Genomic DNA, 18901 nt, shown 5'->3' on the forward strand with positions numbered 1-18901 from the left:
CTCTCTGCCCCCACCACAGACGACAAGAGGATTTTGTGGGAAAATATTTTATTGCTGCCATCCCCATGGTGAGCCGCTGGGGGTGAGGGGTGAAGCTGGGTGGTGGATCACAGCATCTTCTGGAATAGGGCGATGGCCTCATCCACCTTCCTGAGCTCTGCTTCTGTCTGTTGGAGCTGGAGTGGAACCAGGGGGTGGGTGAGGACCCAGGTCCAAGTGAAGAGACCCCCAAACACCCAGGACAACAAAGTTGGAAAGATGAGCGAGGACCATGGGAGGTCAGTAGCTCAGAGGAGGCGTGAACCTGGCTGGCCTGGCTCCCCACCCATTCCCACCAGCACCCCCACTTCCACCACCACCTCTTGGGTCTTGCCTTTTTCCACCAAGTGGTGAGTCCCCAAGAACAAAGGAACCTCAGAGCCTACGTGTTCCCCATTCAGTGTCCCCACCTAAGCAGGAGAGCACAGTCTCCCAGGCCGGTCACTTCATTTGTCAGATGATGATGATGATATTGCCCCCCTCCCAGGGCTCTTGGGAGAACCAAGTGAGATTAACCACGTCCACTCAAGGCTCTCTAGCTCTTGGCCTCCATGACTGGTTTTCTCTGTGTCTGTGCAGTTTACTCCACTGCTTCTCTCTGGCGGAACCCAGGAGGCAGGGGACAAACAAGACTGGCCTTCCAGGGTCAGCCCAGTAGGCTTGAAAGTAAGTGGTGGGAGGCCCAGGGCTCCCCGACTACATGTGGACCCCAAGCCCAGCCCCAGGCATGCAGGTTTCCACATTTTGGGCAGCTGGGTGGGGTACGAAGGGTCTGGCTGGGAGATAGGATGCCTGGTTCTAGGTCAGCCTCCGTCTCCCACCTGTTGTGTGACCCTGGGTTGTGCCCAGCCCCCAGCTGCTCCCCATGTGTAAGGGGAGGGCCTTCTATGGTCCCTGCTCAAAGCGCCTGGGCTCCATGCTCCCCAGTGGATTCCCCAGGGTTGGGTACAGAGTCCAGCTTCCAGACCAGGATTGGTTTTTGTTTTGTTTTGTTTTTTTTCCAGACAGGGTCTTCTCTCTGTTGCCCAGGCTCAAGTGCAGTGGCATGATCTCGGCTCACTGCAGTCTTGACCTCCCAGGCTCAAGCAATCCGCCCACCTCAGCCCCCCGAGTAGCTGGGACCCCAAGTGTGTGCCACTATGGCCAGCTAATTTTTGTATTTTTGTTGTAGAGATGGGATTTCACCATGTTGGCTGGTCTCAAACCCCTGGGCTCAAGTGATCCACCCACCTTGGCCTCCCAAATTTCTGGGATTACAGGTGTGAGCCACTGAGCCAGGCTGTTTTGTTTTTTAAGGCTAGTGGGAGTGGAGAAGGAACAAAGAAATCTGTAACTGGTTACGATCAATTAGTTGTCAACACCACTGCACTCGGACCAGCCCAGACCAGGGTTTTGATGGAGGAAGGGGATGGTGTGGGAAATGCCCACCCAGGCCACACACCTTGGCTTCATCTGCCTCCTGGACTTCGAGCGGCACCTTGACAGGATAGCCCGAGGCAGCACGGCGTTCCCGCAGACGCTGGGCCTGCCGCTGGGCCTCAACTCGCTTGGCTTGCAGCTTGCCCAGCTCCCGTGCAGGGTCCACCAGCCCCTGAAGCTGCAGGTGGATGGAGCAGCGATCAGAAGCCAGAGCCACAGCGCAACCCTGGGGGGCGGGAGCCCCCAGGGCCAGAACAGCCACCACACCTGCGCTGGCCAGGGCCTGCACGTAGCCCGACACCGCCGATGCCAGGGCGCCCGTGGCCTCATCCGCCACTTCCAGGAAACCTGCCAGGGAGGGAGAAAGGTGAGGCCTAGCTCCATGGAGACAGGAAACCAAGCAGTCACTGCCGGACACTGGGTCCCAGAGTAGGCTGAGGGGACAGTGGGATGGGGCGGACATGGGGGCCTGAGGCTCACAGTCAGGCCGGATCCGGGTGAGGTTGTAGTCGGCCCGCAGGGAGCGCACGGCTCGCGTGATGCTTAGCGCCAGCTCAAGGGCGGCTTCTGCCTCGGGGTCCTTCCAGGAGCACTGTGGGGTGGAGGAGGGGGTGAGGGGGCCTGGAGGGCAGGTCAGACTCCCCTCTCCAGGCCATGCCATACCTCTGAGGGCTCCGGGTAGGGGGTAACACAGAGGCTAGGGGGAGCTTGCGGCATCCTCCGGGGCAGCCTCTGGAACAGCTCCTCCGTCACGAAGGGCATGAAGGGTGAGAGCAGCCGCAGGCCAACGTCCAGGCAAGTGTACAGGGTCTGGCGGGCACACTCAGCTGCCACCTGGTCCACCCCATTCAGTACAGGTTTCAGGCACTCCTAGGGGACGAGAGGTACAGGGCTCACGGCTGGAGGTCTAGCCTTGAGCCCTCGCTGTGCCTGTGAGGACTGGGAAGGGGATGGGTTGGCTTAGGTCTCAAGGCCAACTCTGGCAAAACTGAGCCCAGGGCTCTGCTGCCCACCTGCCCCCACCATCCCCTGCCCCGCTGTGCTCCTTCTCACCAAGTAGACATCACAGAGCTCATAGAGCCAGAAGCTGTACTGGGCAGTGGTGACGGCCGGGAAGTCGTAGGCCTGGAAGCCTTGATTGCTGAGCCTCACAGCCTCTGTCAGGCGGCTGCGGATCCAGCGGTCCACCAGGCTCTCATGGCCTCCGGGCTTGGGGAGAGAGGGTGTATCAGCCGGCGGGCCAGGGGAGGGTGCCAGAACCCCATGGGGGCAGGAGTCATGGGCAAATCTTCATCCAGAGTCTGATGAGTCCAAAGCAACCACCTATGTGCCAGGATCTGGGAAGAAGTGACAGGCCCCAGCCCCCAATGCGCTGGGCTTTCCCTTTAACTGTCTGTCTCTGTGTCTATCTGTCCCCCCAGCTACATGGAGGCTGCTCCGGACAGGGGTACAGCCTGTGTGAGTGCTGCCAGCTTTGCTGCCCACCAGGCCCTTACCTGGGAGGTGGGTGAGGGCACAAAACCCTTCCCAAGGCCACGAAGGGCAAACTTGGTGGCATTCCAGAGCTTGTTGCAGAAGTGGCGGTAACCCAGTATCCGGTTCACATCCAGGTTGATGTCACGACCTGGGTCGGGGGTGAGATGTGAGTCCTCATCACCCTCTTCCCAGCCCATGCCCACCAGAGGCTCAGGGTGGAGAAGAGGGATGGGCCTCACAGAAGGAGGAAGGAGTGGCTGGGAGGGACGCTTTGGGGGCCATACCCTGGGACATGTAGGCACATAATCCAAACCGGAGAGCATCGGTGCCACATTCAGGAATCCCCGCTGGGAAGTCAGCTTTCTACAGGGAAGAGGCAGGGGGAGGAGCGTCCTCAGCCAGCCCCATCCACGCTGTGCTCCTGCTTAGCCCAGCCCAACCCTCCATACCTGCCCTTCTTTGGCCTTCTCCACCTCGCTGGGATCCAGGTTGCTGTTCAGCAGCTGGTTGTGGAGGCCCTGAGGGTGGAGTGGGAGCAGTCAGGTGGCTGTGACCACAGCCCCACGGCCCTTCCTGGCTGGCCCAGCACCCAGCCCACCTGCAGGGAGATTCCATAGATGACGTCCAGGGGATCGATGACATTGCCTAGAGACTTGCTCATCTTCCGGCCGTGAGCATCTCGCACGATGGCATGGAGGTAGACCTGCAGAGCAGGTGGGGAGGCCCATGAGACTCAGTCCTCTCCTTCCCCGGCCTCAGTGCCCCGACCAGGACTGTGTCTGGTCTACCCCACTGTGAACCTCAGGTCCCACTGAGTGTCCCCAAGAGCTCGTTGAGCGCCTTTATGTGAATCAGAAGCACTCCTTCCTCTGGGAAGATGAAGCCCTGGGCACAGGAATCACTGAGCAGGGCCCAGGCTGGATTTCAACCCCACACCAGCCCCCGGGTCAGGCCTGCCCACAGCTAACCCCATGCCCCAGCCACGCGGGGTCTGCGCTGCAGCACAGGACGGTAGGAGAGGAGGCTGGGGGCGATGGGAGGGTCTCGGCTGTCTCCGCACCTCTCTAAAGGGCAGCCTGCCCGTGAGCTTCAGGCCCAGCATGACCATCCGGGCCACCCAGAAGAAGAGGATGTCATGACCGGTCTCCAGCAGTGTCCCGGGGTAGAACACACTCAGGTCTTCTGACTGAGGGCAGACCAGGGTGTGAAGGGGAGCCAACACCCACCCTCCAGTCCCCTGTCCCGCCAAGCCCCGGCCCCAGGAACACACCTGGTTGGGCCAGCCCAAAATGGATAAGGGGAAGAGGCCAGAGGAGAACCAGGTATCCAATACATCCTCATCTGAGAGAGGCCAAAGGTCAGAGGTCAGAGGGAGTGGAGCTCTGCCCCCCACAACTCCCTCCAGACCCTCAAAGCCCCGCCTTGCCTTGCTGGAGACTGATCTTGTCAGGGGACACTCCGAACTCCTTGGCTGCCTTCTCCCGGGCCTCCGCCTCATTGCGTCCACTCACCCAGTACCGCCCATCAGGGTCCTGCCACAGGTGCAGTGATTACCCAAGGGGGTGTGTCTGCTTCTGGCTCACCCTGCCCCTCCCCCCACCAAGGACCCAGTAAACCCACCACTCCAGCAGGGTGTCCCAGCAGCTAGCTCTGGCCCTCTGCTCACCTCCCCAGGGGGCACCGCTGGGTCACTGACAGTGACAAAGTAGGCTGGGATGCGATGGCCCCACCACAGCTGCCTGGAAATGCACCACTCCCTGCAAATGTCGGGGAGGAGAAATCAGGGAGGGCCTGATGGAGCCTGGCCCGAGTGAGCCCTGCTCAGCCCTCGGCAAGCCCCTCCCACACTGAGGACCCTACACACCGGATGTTGTCCATCCAGGCATGCCATGTGCGCTGATGGGCCTCAGGCAGGATGCGGAGGTCACCCCGAGTCACAGCGGCGCTGGCAGCCTGGGCCATCTCCCCGCAGCGAACGTACCACTGCGGCCGCAGCAGAGGCTCTACCACGTCCTTCGACCGGCTGGGGGTACACGTAGGTGAGAAGGCCAGGCGGTAAAACCCTGAGGAGCCCTCCATCTTCCTCCCGTCCCAGGCCCCCACCCTCACTTGCAAAGTGGCACCACCATGGGGTTGTCCTCAATGCCACGGAACAGTCCCCGCTCCTTCAGCGCCACCAGCACCGCTTTCCTGGCCTCAAACCTGGGCAGGCCCTGGGTAGGAATGAGGCCTCATCATGGCGATGCCCAGCCATCCCTCCATCTCCCTGACCCGGGCACTCTTGCCTCAGGCAGCCTCACCAGGAAAGGCGGAGGCACATTGATGAGGGCCCCCCGGGAGTCCATGATGCTGATGGCCTCCAGCCCGTGCCGCTGCCCAACTTCATAGTCATTTTGGTCATGTGCGGGGGTGATCTTCACAGCACCTGGGTGTACATCAGGATGCCCAGGTCATGAGGGACTCCACGGAGTTCCTTCCTACACTCACCTCTTTTGCTGAAGGATGTAGCTCCGAGACCACTCCTGGCCCCCACTTGTCTAATACAGTCCCTTGAGAACCACCCCAAGCTCTGTCTATTTGGCTGAAGCTTATTTTCTTTTTCTCTGAGAGAAGATGGACAGCTAGGGTGCAGCTCCAGTCTTTTCCTCTCCCCACAGGACCAGCCCCTTGCCCACCTGTGCCAAAGTCCATGTCCACAAATTCATCGAAGACAATGGGAAGGCTCCGAGACAGGAATGGGTGGATCACGTTCTTCCCCTTCAGGTGCTGGGGGCGGAAAGATACCAAAAACGCATGAAGCAGGGCCAGACGCCGTGATTCCCACCTGTAATCCCAGAACTTTGGGAGGCTGAGGTGGGCAGATCACTTGAGGCCGGGAGTTGGAGACCAGCCTGGCCAACATGGGGAAACCTAGTCTCTACTAAAAATACAAAAAAAAAATTAGCCAGGTGTGGTGACGCGTGCCTGTAATCTCAGCTACTCAAGAGGCTGAGGCACAAGTACTGCTTGAACCCGGGAGGTGGAGGTTGCAGTGAGCCAAGATGGTGCCACTGCACTCTAGCCTGGGCGATAGAGTGAGACCCTCTCTCAAAAATAAATAAATAAATAAAAGCATGAAGGGGCCTGGTGCCATGGCTCACATCTCTAACCCCCACACTTTGGGAGGCTGGGGCAGGAGGCTTCCTTGAGGCCAGGAGTTCAAGATCAGCATGGTTAACAGAGTGAGACCTTGTCTCTATTTAACTTTTTTTTTTTTTTTGAGACGGAGTCTCGCTCTGTCACCAAGGCTGGAGTGCAGCAGAGTGATCTCAGCTCACTGCAACCTCCGCATCCCAGGTTCAAGCGATTCTCCTGCCTCAGCCTCCTGAGTAGCTGAGATTACAGGCACCCGCCACTACAACTGGCTAATTTTTTGTATTTTTAGTAGAGATGGGGTTTCACTATGTTGGCCAGGCTAGTCTCGAACTCGTGACCTTATGATTCACCTGCCTCAGCCTCCCAAAGCGCTGGGATTACAGGCATGAGCCACCGTGCCTGGCTATTTAACTTTTTAAAAATGCACGAAGGGCTGGGCCCAAGTCCTTCCTTTCCAGGGCCCTGACTATCCCAACACTTGAACTCCCCCAAACAGTCCCCAATAGCTCTACCCTCAGAGCTGGGAAAGAAGCTGAAGACCAGTTTCTAACCCAGTTTCCTCTCCTCAGCCAGGGGCCTAAGTCCAACCCCTCCACCCCATAAGGATGGGAGCCCTTTTTGGCCAGAACTCCTTCCCTAACTGTGGACAGTCCCCCACCTGGTATCTGGTATCTTTGGGGTGCACAGCTACAGCCACATCTCCCAGCATTGTCTCGATCCGAGTTGTTGCCACCACCACCTCCTCGTCGCTATCTGGGGTGACAGAAGGCCTTGTGGTCTTGGCCTTGGCCCCTTCCTGCCACTCCCAGCCCAGGATCCTGGTGCCCCTGGCTCCTACCTGAGCCTTGGACCTTATAGGCAAAGGACACGAGGACCCCGAACTCCACCTTCTCCTTGTAGCCAGGCACGGAGAGCAGGGTGCGACCTGTCAGCTCCTTCTTATCCACCTGTAAAATGGGTATTTAGAGGCGTGGCCCAGGGGCCAGGGCCAGGGCCAGGGTAGATTGGAGATGGAGACAGGCCAGGTTGGGGGGCGCACCTCAATGTCAGAGATGGCGGAGTTGAGGGTGCAGGACCAGTTAACAAGGCGGGTACTGCGATAGATGATGCCTTCCTCGTGAAGCCGGACAAAGGCCTCTGTCACAGCTGCTGAGAGTTTCTGGGGTGGAGGAGGGAGAAGTCAGAGAGATGGGCCTTGTGCCTGGAGGCCCAGGCAGACACCCAGGGCTCCAGTGAGGCCTTGCCCATACAGAGTCCCACTGGCCAGCACAAAGACCCCTCTGAGGGGAGTACTTTCCTTCTTTCCTTGAGGGGGAGAGAGGACTAAGGGAACACAAGAGCAGGCAACAAGCCTTGTAATGCTGCAGATGGCGAGGAAGACAATCAGCTGGGGACAAGTACTGGTGCAGAGGACACTGGGAGTTCAGGCTCCATGGGAGACGGGGTCCTGATCATGTGCCATCTGGAGGAATCTGGAGCTCCCAGAGCCAAGACAGGGAACATGAAGGGCCATGATATGGAAAGGGCCATGGCGAGGGGTGGGAAGTGGCATTTGCAGCTGAGCCCTCCATGGTGTTTTACATGGGCCAGCTCCTGAGAGAGGGCCACAACACCTCTGCTTTCTCCTGTGGGGGTCCCACCCTGGGGAGACTCCTACTCCTGCCCCAGCTTTGACACTCCTCCCACGCACAGGGTCCATGGTGAAACAGGCTCGATCCCAGTCCAAGGAGCTGCCAAGCTTCTTCAACTGGTGGTAAATCCGGTCACCTTTCCTGGAAGCAGACAGGCTGAGGTCAGCACTCGTGCCTGGGCTAGAGGGAGACATCAGGTGGCTGACTGGGCAGTGTGGAGATCACCCATCCCCCTGAAATTTACCTGGGCCCTAGAGCCAACTGACTCTGCCTCTGTGGGAGGGTCTGACCCTGTGGCCAAGGGGTTACAGGTGACAGAGGTCTTCTGGATAGGGGACAGGGAGGCAGGGCTGCGATGCCCACAGGGATGCTGCATACTCACTCCTCCTTCCACTTCCAGACTTCCTGTAGAAAGGCCTCGCGGCCCAGCTGGTGCCGGCTCAGTCCCTGCTCACGCCATAGCTTCTTCTCCACCACCACCTGGGTGGCAATACCTGCATGGTCACAGCCAGGGTTCCACAGGGTGGTCTCCCCACGCATGCGGTGCCTGTTAGGGGGCATGGAGGACCAGAGGGTGAGCCAGGCCAGTGGGGCCTGGCACCAAAGAAAGCAGAGGCTTCAGGCAAGGAGTCAGTGGACTAAATAAAGAAGCAGGGAGGCCGGACGCGGTGGCTCACGCCTGTAATCCCAGAACTTTGGGAGGCTGAGGTGGGTGGATCACCTCAGGTGGGGGAGTTCGAGATGAGCCTGGCCAACATGGTAAAACCCCGTCTCTACTAAAAATACAAAATTAGCTGGGCATGGTGGCATGCGCCTGTAATCCCAGCACTTTGGGAAGCCGAGGTGGGTGGATCACCTGAGGTGGGGACTTCAAGATAAGCCTGGCCAATATGGTAAAACCCTGTCTGTATTAAAAATACAAAATTAGCTGGGCGTGGTGGCATGTGCCTGTAATCCCAGCTACTTGGAAGGCTGAGGCAGGAGAATTGCTTGAACCCGGGAAGCAGAGGTTGCAGCAAGCTGGGATCATGCCATTGCACTCCAGCCTGGGTGACAGAGTGAGACTCCGTCTCCAAAAAACAAACAAAAAAAAAAAGAAAGAAGCAGGGGTGGAGCTGGAACCCTTGTGATTCTAAAGCTAGTCAAGGAGAAAAGATTTGAAGGAAGAGCCAAGGCAATATGGAAAAAGAACAAAGACAGGCATGCGTGGTGGCTCACACCTGTAACCCCAGGACTTTGGGAGGCCAAGGCGAGTGGATCACTTGAGGACAGGAGTTCGAGACCAGCCTGACCAACATGGCAAGACCCTGTCTCTACCAAAAATATAAAAATTAGCCAGGATGGTGGTGCATACCTGTAATCCCAGCTACTTGGGAGGCTGAAGCACGAGAATCGCTTGAAGCTGGGAGGGGGAGGTTGCAGTGAGTTGAAATTGTGCCACTGCACTCCAGCCCGGATGACAGAGTGAGACTCTGTCTCAAAAAAAAAAAAAAAAAAAAAAAAAAAGAACGAAGAGGAGGCTCCTGCCAAACAGGATAGCAAAAGTTCTAATTGTTAAAATAAGTTACTAAACAGGAACAAAATAGTACCTGGAAACAGATACAAGCAAATTTAGTGTTTGTGAAAGTTGGCACTTCCTATCAGTAAAATAAGGATAAACTATTCAAAATGTTTGAAACAACTAGCTAATTATTTGGAAAAAATCTCCCCCTTACCAATAGTCACAAAAAGAAACTTTAGATAGATTAAAGAATTCAAGCCAGGCACAGTGGCTCAAGCCTATAACCCCAACACTTTGGGAGGCCAAGGTGAGAGGACTGCTTGAGCCCAGGAGTTGCAGACTAGCCTGGGCAACATAGTGAGACCTAGTCTCTGCAAAAAAAAAAAAAAAAAAGCCAGGCATGGTGGCGTGCACCTTTGTTCCCAGCTACTTGGGTGGCTGAGGTTGAGGCTGCACCAAGCTATGATTGTGCTGTGATCATGCCGATGCACTCCAATCTGGCCAACACAGTGAGAGAGACTCTGTCTCAAAAATAAATAAATAAACAAATAAATAAAAATAAAAAGTTGATATAACTCTATTCCATTAAAGTAATGGGAGTGTCTCACATTTTATTTAAACCACGTTCACTGGAAAAAAAATGTGGCTACCTTAAGAGTTTTATAAGAAGTATGTGGCCAGGCACAGTGGCTCACACCTGTAATCCCAGCACTTTGGGAGGCCGAGGCAGGCGGCTTACTTCAGGTTAGGAGTTCAAGACCAGCTTGGCCAACATGGCAAAACTCTGTCTACTAAAAATGCAAAAGAATTAGCTGGGCGTGGTGGTGCGTGCCTGTAGTCCCAGCTACTCAGGAGACTGAGACACAAGAATCGCTTGAACCCAAGTGGTTGAGGTTGCAGTGAGACGAGATCGCGTCACTGCACTCCAGCCTGGGCGACAGAGCGAGACTCTGTCTCAATTAAAAAAAAAAAAGTAGTCATTCTGTTTTCATGTAAACAAACTTGGAGGCCAGGTATGGTGGTTCATGCCTGTAGTCCCAGCACTTTGGGAGACTGAGGCAGGAGGATTGCTTGAGCCCAGAAGTTCAAGACCAGCCTGGGCAACATAGCGAGACCCTCTCTTGATTTTATTAAAAAATTGAAAAACAGGGCCGGGCGTGGTGGCTCACGCCTATAATCCCAGCACTTTGGGACGCCGAGGTACGCGAATCACGAGGTCAGGAGATCGAGACCATCTTGGCTAACACGGTGAAACCCCGTCTCTACTAAAAATACAAAAAAAATTAGCCAGGCGTGGTGGTGGGCTCCTATAGTCCCAGCTACTCAGGAGGCTGAGGCAGGAGAATGGTGTGAACCTGGGAGGAGGAGCTTGCAGTGAGCAGAGACTGCGCCACTGCACTCCAGCCTGGGTGACAGAGCAAGACCCCATTTCCAAAGAAAAAAAAAAAATTGAAAAATTGAAAAAACAAAAACGCAAACACAAACGCAAACAACTTGGCCATTGTATGTTATGTGTATTTAACAGAACTGTTGGCTGGACGAAGTGGCTCATGCCTGTCATCCTAGCACTTTGGGAGACCGAAGCGGGAGGATCACAAGGTCAGGAGCTCGAAACAAGCCTGACCAACATGGTGAAACCCCGTCTCTACTAAAAATACAAAAATTAGCCAGGTGTGGTGGCATGCGCCTGTAATCCCAGCTACTCAGAAGGCTGAGGCAGGAGAATCGCTTGAGCTCAGGAGGCAGAGGTTGCAGTAAGCGCGCATCACTGCACTCCAGCCTGGGAAACCGAGAGAGACTCTGTCTCAAAAAAACAAAAAAAACAAAAAAAAAAACAGGCCAGGCGCGGTGGGTCACGCCTGTAATCCCAGCACTTTGGGAGGCCGAGGTGAGCAGATCATGAGGTCAAGAGATCGAGACCATCCTGGCCGACAGGGTGAAACCCTGTCTCTACTAAAAAAAATACAAAAAATTAGCCAGGCGTGGTGGCGGGCGCCTGTAGTCCCAGCTACTCAGGAGGCTGAGGCAGGAGTATGCTGTGAACCTGGGAAGCAGAGCTTGCAGTGAGCCAAGATTGCGCCACCGCACTCCAGCCTGGGCGACAGAGAGAGACTCTGTCTCAAAATAATAATAATAATAATAAAAATAAAAAAATAAAACATATAACTGTTTTCCTAGCTCTCAGTTACTTGCAAAATGCACAATCAAACATTATATTCCCAGTGCTCAGAGCAGAGGTGGCACATAGTTGGGCCCAGTAAATATTTTTTGACCACATTAATTTAGTACATAAGACACCAGAAAAAATTCTCAAAATTTAAATATAATAAACCCTGGTTTCCAAAAATGGTAAAGTTATTTTAAAATACTTTTTAAAAAGATTTGTCACCTAGAATATTACTTTGTATTTATCACTAATTAAAATATTAACAGTGAAAACAAATAGTAACAGAAAACAGGAGAAACATTTACAATTAACAGGAAAACTACCACACAATAATACAACAAAAACATTTACAATATTTAACAAAAAAATTGATACCCAGAACAGGTAAAGAATTCTCAAAAAAAAAATTAAAAAGAAAAAGAACGAAGAATCAATAGAAAAACGGGGAAAAGATAGATACAGACAATTCACATATGGGTAAACCTGACTGGCCAAAAAACATGAAAATAGGCACAACTTCAATAGCAATCAGAAAGGTACAAAGTAAAACAACAGAGGTATTTTTTTGCCCATCAGATTGGCAAAACTAATTAGGCAACCCTAATGCTCAGGCTTAGCAAGGGTGGGGAAATGAACACTCTCACAGCAATTCCTGGAGGTATCAATCAGCAAAGCCATTCTGCAGGGCAACTTGGCAGCTTCCGTTTGTACTTAATATAGGTGTGCCCCTGCCGACCTAGCAGTTTCACTTCTTGATAGCTACACCAGCGAAACCCTTCCACACATGCTTCAGCAAGCATATAGAGCAGGGGTATCCAATCTTTTGGCTTCCCTGGGCCACATGGAAGAATTGTCTTGGGCCACAGATAAAATACACTAACACTGGCTGGGAGCAGTGGCTCACGCCTGTAATCCCAGCACTTTGGGAGTCCGAGGCGGGCGGATCACGAGGTCAGGAGATCGAGACCATCCTGGCTAACATGGTGAAACCCCGTCTCTACTAAAAATACAAAAAAAAAATTAGCCGGGCGTGGTGGTGGGCACCTGTAGTCCTAGCTACTTGGGAGGCTGAGGCAGGAGAATGGCGTTAACGTGGGAGGCGGAGTTTGGAGCTTGCAGTGAGCCGAGACTGTGCCACTGCACTCCAGCCTGGGTGACAGTGCAAGACCCGTCTCAAAAAATAAATAAATAAATAAATAATAAAAATAAATTTAAAAAAATACACTAACACTAACGATAGCTGATGAGCTAAAAAAAAAAAATCGCAAAAAAATTCTTAAATGTTTAAACAAAGTTTACAAATTTGTGTTAGGCTGCATTCAAAGCCGTCCTGGGCCGCATGTGGCCCACAGGCTGCAGGTTGGACAAACTTGATATACAGGGATGTGCATTAGAGTAAGGTTTTCAACAGAAAAAAAACAAAAAACAAAAAACAGAATGAATCATTAATTAAAAAGTGACTCCAGGCCGGGAGCAGTGGCTCACGCCTGTAATCCCAGCACTTTGGGAGGCCGAGGCAGGCAGATCACCTGAGGTCAGGAGTTTGAGACCAGCCTGGCCAACATGGTGAAACCCCATCTCTACTAAAAATACAAAAATTAGCCAGGCGCGGTGGCAGGTGCCTGTAATGCCAGCTACTTGGGAGGCTGAGGCAAGAGAATCGCTTGAACCTAGGAGGTGGAGGTTGCGGTGAGCCGAGATCATGCCACTGTACTCCAGCCTGAGCAAAAAGAGTGAAACTCTGTCTCAAAAAAAAAAAAAAAAAAAAAAAAAAAAAGAATGACTTCACTATGGTACAGCCACACTATGAGATATTATGGAACAATTAAAAAGAAGGAAGTCAGTATGTGTGGTATGTGTGTAAGGACAAGGAAAGATCTCCAAGAGAAAGTATTAAGTGTAAGAAGAAAGCTAGATCATAACAAGTGTAATATGAACCCTTTATGTTAAAAAATAGAAAAGACTCACCCAAAAGGAGAACTATAAATTTCTATGGGTACGTGTATATGTAAGTAAATAGGAAAGATCTGGGAAGATACACATCAAAGTGATAACAATGGCTAAATCTTAGGAGGAAGTAGGTGTGGAGGGGGATGGTCAAGGAGATTTGAAACTTTAAATTTCTTACAAGAATATATTCATATATTTTGGTCAGTTGTGGTGGCGCATTCCTGTAATCCCAGCTACTTGGGAGGCTGAGGCAGGAGAATCACTTGAACCCAGGAGGCAGCGGTTGCCATGAGCCGAGATGGCGTCACTGCACTCCGGCCTGGGCAACAGAACAAGACTCTGTCCCCCCAAAAAAAAATATATATATTCATATGTTCCTAATTAAATTCAAAATAATGTTATTGTTACTAGAAAAAGAAGGGAGAGACTGGGTGTGGTGCCTCACACCTATAATCCCAGCACTCTGGGAGTCTGAGACAGGAGAATCACTTGAGCCAGGAGTTGGAGACCAGACTGAGCAACAAAGTGAAAACTCATCTTTACAAAAAATTAAATTAAATTAAATTAAAATTAAATAAAGAAAGAAGGGATAGAAGAGAGTCTGCAAGTGGCGGTGTTGCATGGGAGTACTGGACTAGGAGAGGAAGCTAAATGATCAGATTGGAATGACAGAGAGAAGTGTAGCACCACTGGGGGCAGAAGTGAGCACCAACCCAGAAGGAGAGAGGCTCGGGGGGCTGTCAGGGAAAAGGAGAGAGCCAGACTAGGCAGAGGGAACCAGAGGAAGGTGCAGATAGAAGCTCACCATCGAGTCAGGGAGTCCTGGATGGCGTTGGTGAGTGCATGGCCCAGGTGCAGGGAGCCTGTCACATTGGGGGGTGGGATGCACATCATGAAGACACCTCGGGGATTTGCTGCTGACACATTAGGACGCTGATGGTGGAGAAGGATGGCACATGTTTAAGGCCTCAGGTCACCTCTCCCAGCCCCTCCCAGGCAACACATCCTTCAGTCCTGCCCTTCCCCACCCCACCCACTCTGGGCCTGGGCAGCAGTGCCTACTCACCCCATACTCTGGCTTGAAGAAGCCCTGCTGCTCCCACCAAGGGTACCAGGCAGCCTCCACATACCGAGGGCTGTAGGAGTCGGGCATGGGGCCACTGACATCTGGGGGAGAGGAAGGGAGGGCTCAGTGCCGTGGCTGGGAGCACTCTGGGAAGGAGACGTGCTGGCAGAGAGGGATCGGGATCTCCGTCACTCACATCATAGGACAGGCATTTGAGGGGCCTAGAGGCAGGGCAGGGGGTCTGCAATTCCTCACCAAACAAAGTGGTGAGAGCAAGAATAGAGCAAGATAGGGTGAAAACTTAGAAGGGGCTGCTGAGGGGTGAGCCCCTTCCCACTCCTAGTACCTTTCTTTTCCCCGGGTGGGGTTGGGAGGTCATAGGTAATGACCCCAGGATCCCGTTTCTCCCTCTTCTCTGGTTTTGGTTTCTTCTGCTTGGGAGGGAGAAGACATAGGCCCAGGCATCAGCCAACCCATCACCGCACACATCAACTTTCCTTCCAGCTCCACCCTCGCCTCACCTCCCCTGGAGGTGGCTGCTGCTGTTGGATCTTCTGCTTCTGTTGGAATTTCTCTAGCTTCTCCCGTTTCTTTGCCTCTTTCTTGAGCTGAGCAGCTGTCTTTGGGAGGGCAGGAGCCTCGGGGCCTAGAGAGAGGTGCAGAAATTCAGACTCAGCCAGCTGGGGACCCTCTTGGACGGCCATACTAGGTTTCAGATGGGGTATTTTAGATGCCCGAGGTCTTGCCCATGCTGACCTCCCCCCTCTCCCTCCTCTCCCGCAGGACCCTGCCCCAGTGATTCTGCCATTTCTAGGAAAAAAAGAAAGTGAGTTGCATGGAAGGCCCCAGGGAAGCCCCTATCCTCCAACTCCTCGCCCTTCCTCACCTGGCTGATGAGAGAGAGGCCTGGCTCCTGAGTATAGAACCACTTCTCCTAGCACGGCTCGGAATTCTGGCTGCCGGACACACGTGACAAACCAGCGAGTCACATTATTCCAGATCCGGCGGGCAGGTGGGTCTAGGACCTGGAACAGGAAATAAATGACTCTTCTCAGTCACCCTACAGTGAGGTCTGAGGAGAGCAGTCTTGTTCTTCCCCAGGCCTGGTGACTCACGTATCGGAAAGGCAGCAGCAAGGCTGTGACAGCCGCCAGGTCAGCCAGAGTGGGGGCCTCCCCGGCCAAGTAGGTGTGCAGCCGAAGCCACTCCTCCAAGGGGCTCAGGGCCCTGCCCAGGGCCCCCAGCACAGCCTGGCAGGAAGGGGAAGAAGTGTGAGACAAGGTTTGGCCCACCTCCATCTCCCACCACAACCCAATCCATGTGGCCTCCCTCCACCCCACTCTCACAAATCACCACCTCTGAGTCCCATTTCTTCACTCAAATAGTCACAATAAAAATACTTCTGGGCGGATCACGAGGTCAGGAGATCGAGACCATCCTGGCTAACATGGTGAAACCTCATCTCTACTAAAAATACAAAAAAAAAATAGCCAGGCGTGGTGGCGGGCGCCTGTAGTCCCAGCTACTCGGGAGGCTGAGGCAGGAGAATGGCATGAACCCAGGAGGTGGAGCTTGCAGTGAGCCGAGATCACGCCACTGCACTCCAGCCTGGGCAACACAGCGAGACTCCGTCTCAGAAAAAAAAAAACAAAACACTTCTGACTCATCCAACAAATCCCTACTCAATACTTATGTGTTAGATGCAATATGTTAAGCATAGAAGTAAAGATTATATGAGGCATCTCAATAACTGCCAGGTTCAGAACATCAATAAATATGTATTAAGTACTTCTCCAGGGAATGAGAGGAAAACACGAACAGATGGACAGAACCCTGACCTGGTAGAGTTAACATTCTTGTAGGGGAACAACAAATGAGCAAATATAAAATGAAGTGCCCTATTTTTCTTAACTCCTATGAAGAAAAATAAAGCAGAATGAGGGGAACAGGGGCCAGGCGTGGTGGCTCACACCTATAATCTCAGCACTTTGGGAGGCCGAGGCGAGCAGACCATCTGAGGTTAGGAGTTCGAGACCAGCCTGGTCAACATGACAAAACCCCATCTCTACTAAAAATACAAAAAATTAGCCGGACAAGGTGGTGGGCGCCTGTAATCCCAGCTACTCAGAAGGCTGAGGCAGGAGAATCGCTTGAGCAGTGAGCTGAGATCGCACCATCGCACCGTGGCACTCCAGCCTGGGCAACAGAAGGAGATTCTGTCTCAAAAAAAAAAAAAAAAAAGAAAAGAAAAGAAATAAAAGAGGGGAACAAACAGGGAATTCCAGAAGAGAGGGACTCTATTTTATTTGTTTGTTTGGACAGACATTCTGAATGCAAGGACTCTATTGTAGATAGGGTGATCACAATATGAGGGAGCAAGTCAGGGTCTGCCACATTCATTCATCCATTCAAGAAATACTAATTTTCCATCATGTGCTCAATACCATGCAAGGAGGCAGAGTTGAAAGTACACCAAGGCACAGGTCTCCTTTGGAAGGACTGATAGTTACAATCTGGCAGGGTTATCTCTCCTCTCACTTACCTTCCTCATTTCATTTCTCTTTTATCTCCTCCCAGCAATTGTCATCTCTCCCTCACCCAGTCTTTTCCTACAATTCAAATAACTTCTATCCTCATCAATTTCAGACTCATCAAACTTTTACTAAGAGACTTTAAAAGTGCCTGGCACTAAACTATGTGCTCTGCGCACATCTTTTAATCCTATTAACTCAGTGAGGCAAGCATTACATCAACTTGCCTGCGTGTTCATAGACATAGGAAGACCAAGACACAGCGGGTCTATGAAACGTGCCCAGGGTTACCATACCAGTTGGCAATCTGGGATTTGATCACTCTTTTCCCACATCTGATGTACTACCTTCTTGTCTCATTGTCCATTCCAGTCCTCGCTTCCCTCCTCTGAATTTCTCCCCTCCCCCTCTTCTGTACAACCCCCTCACCTGGGGGTCCTGGGCCGAGCTTCGGAGTCCCAGGGCCGGCAGCGTTGCTCCACAGGCAGCTGGTATTAACTCCGTGTCGGCGTAACTGACCCACTGTTGGACAAGGACAGCCGCCCGGCTGCCCCCTGGGCCCCCCAGGCCTGCTGGCCACAGCAGCTGGGCCACAGCCGTGGCCCCCCACACCCAGAGCCCACCGGGCCCCTGCTCCAGGGCCGGCAGGCGGGGTGGGGGAAAGGGAGTCCTGCTAGTCGGGGGTGGCTGGAGACAGATGCGGGGGTGGGCTCCTCCCCATCCGGGACCCTCCCCAGCCTCCCCATAGCGAGCGGCTATGAGGGCTCGGAGGCTGGGGAAGGCATCTGGGTGAGGGGAGACGTAGAGGGTGGACATAGTTATGAGAAGGTCCGAACGAAGTGGAAAAACCTAAGGAGAAAGAGAGACAGGGGAAGACTGCGGGATCGAGGTGGGTCCTATGTTTGAGTAGAGAGGGGACCCTCACGGGAGCTCCTTCGCCGCAGACACCCGAGTCCCATAGGACTGAGGGTCTGACCAGGCAGGCTGTCAGGAGCCGAGGACCTGGCTCTCAGAGGGGCAGTGTCAGTGGGGAGTTCCTGGGGAAGAGGAACTATCCACCATCGCGGGGCTTCGGGGAGTGTGGAAGGCTCTCAGGAGCGGGTCGGCGTCTGGTTGGATGCGGGTTCGAGCCGCGTGTACGTACTGGAGGGAGATGGTCAGACTGGGCCGGGAATCCACCTCACAGCCAGGCGCCGGCCGCGGCTGGACCGGCCGAGCGGCCCGGGCGGAGGAGTCGAGCGGGCAGAGACGGTGGGCGGCTCTCCAGGTGACCCTAGTTCCCTAAGATCGCCGCCCCGGCAGCCGGCGCCCACGTGTTCCCCCCTTTGTGACAGGGAGCGTTTCCGGGCCTGCGGGTCCTGGCGGGGGCGGCCGTGCCCCGCCTGCGAGTGCGCGCCCGCCGTGTCCGACACTGCCCCGGGGGCCGCGCGGCTCGCCGCCCGCCGGTCTCACGAGGAACAGCGCGGGGCGCGGGGCGCTGGGCGCGGACGCAGGACGAGAGGACACCCCTGAGCACGACGCTCCCGTCAGGCGCCGCCACGGGCACCTTGTGCGGGTCCTCGGCCGGGTGGCGAGGGCGGCGCCCAGCGGGCAGCTAGGGAACTGGCCCAAGAGGGTCGGCCGGCCCTGCCGGTGGAGGGCGTTCCCCACCCGGTAGCGGGGAGGTGCCCAGCAGGGAGCCGCCTGATGAGGACCGAAGGGGAGGTCCATTTGCCGAGGCCCTGGCGTCCAGCTTCCTCTTTGAGCCTCATCTCCTCATGTATGAAAAAAGGGTGACGGCCGGGCGCAGTGGCTCACGCCTATAATCCCAGCACTTTGGGAGGCCGAGGTGGGCGGATCACCTGAGGTCAGAAGTTCAAGACTAGCCTGGCCAAGGTGGTGAAAGCCCGTCTCACGCCTGTAATCCCAGCACTCTGGGAGGCCAGGGCGGGTGGATCACCAGGTCAGGAGTTCAAGACCAGCCAGGCCAAGATGGTGAAACCCCGT

General features: G+C 54.1%; 1 protein-coding gene across 5 annotated transcripts, besides 3 other annotated features; it reads right to left on the reverse strand.

Annotated features, from left to right (window-relative positions):
* On the reverse strand, positions 32-18266 carry VARS1 (valyl-tRNA synthetase 1). Of its 5 annotated transcripts, none has more exons than NM_006295.3 (30): positions 18060-18266; positions 17345-17764; positions 15500-15634; positions 15271-15409; positions 14906-15030; positions 14731-14815; positions 14385-14485; positions 14124-14251; positions 8083-8247; positions 7760-7841; positions 7109-7228; positions 6908-7016; positions 6728-6822; positions 5610-5700; positions 5235-5359; positions 5044-5147; positions 4799-4957; positions 4601-4691; positions 4361-4466; positions 4205-4275; positions 3995-4120; positions 3533-3637; positions 3384-3452; positions 3219-3297; positions 2955-3082; positions 2512-2667; positions 2122-2328; positions 1939-2050; positions 1481-1806; positions 32-176 (listed from the first exon to the last, which is right to left on the reverse strand). In NM_006295.3, exons 2-30 carry the CDS (start codon positions 17729-17731, stop codon positions 108-110), a joined length of 3795 nt encoding a protein of 1264 aa, NP_006286.1. In that variant the 5' UTR covers positions 17732-17764; positions 18060-18266; the 3' UTR covers positions 32-107. The 5 variants fall into 5 exon arrangements, with proteins under 5 accessions (NP_006286.1, XP_005249419.1, XP_047275253.1 ...); XM_005249362.3 differs by having other exon boundaries at positions 14731-14818; XM_047419297.1 differs by having other exon boundaries at positions 17345-18266.
* Positions 13864-14024: a silencer, noted in NCBI's record as "fragment chr6:31759127-31759287 (GRCh37/hg19 assembly coordinates)". NCBI's record gives its function as "represses an EF-1alpha promoter that drives an FKBP-Casp9 reporter gene in an ReSE screen in K562 erythroleukemia cells {active_cell/tissue: K562}" and the evidence as "EXISTENCE:reporter gene assay evidence [ECO:0000049][PMID:32094911]".
* Positions 14520-15719: an enhancer, noted in NCBI's record as "CDK7 strongly-dependent group 2 enhancer chr6:31759783-31760982 (GRCh37/hg19 assembly coordinates)". NCBI's record gives its function as "activates an origin of replication core promoter dependent on BRD2, BRD4, P300/CBP, MED14 and CDK7 cofactors, with strong dependence on CDK7, by STARR-seq in HCT116 cells {active_cell/tissue: HCT116}" and the evidence as "EXISTENCE:reporter gene assay evidence [ECO:0000049][PMID:35650434]".
* Positions 17864-18718: an enhancer, noted in NCBI's record as "H3K27ac hESC enhancer chr6:31763127-31763981 (GRCh37/hg19 assembly coordinates)". NCBI's record gives its function as "activates a minimal SCP1, AML or CMV promoter by ChIP-STARR-seq in naive H9 embryonic stem cells {active_cell/tissue: H9 hESC(naive)}" and the evidence as "EXISTENCE:reporter gene assay evidence [ECO:0000049][PMID:30033119]".

This window comes from Homo sapiens, chromosome 6 (genome assembly GCF_000001405.40).
Source record: "Homo sapiens chromosome 6, GRCh38.p14 Primary Assembly".
NCBI lineage: Eukaryota > Metazoa > Chordata > Mammalia > Primates > Hominidae > Homo > Homo sapiens.

What these genes read in the sequence shown, in the direction of transcription:
- VARS1 (XM_005249362.3), bottom strand. Translation starts at nt 17,731, where the DNA reads ATGTCCACCCTCTACGTCTCCCCTCACCCAGATGCCTTCCCCAGCCTC. An exon ending in CCTGTTTCACCATGGACCCT is followed by an intron (nt 7,229 to 7,759) that starts GTGCGTGGGAGG and finishes CCTCCACCCCAG; the next exon opens with AAACTCTCAGCAGCTGTGAC. An exon ending in GCAGGCTGCCCTTTAGAGAG is followed by an intron (nt 3,638 to 3,994) that starts GTGCGGAGACAG and finishes CCTGCTCTGCAG; the next exon opens with GTCTACCTCCATGCCATCGT.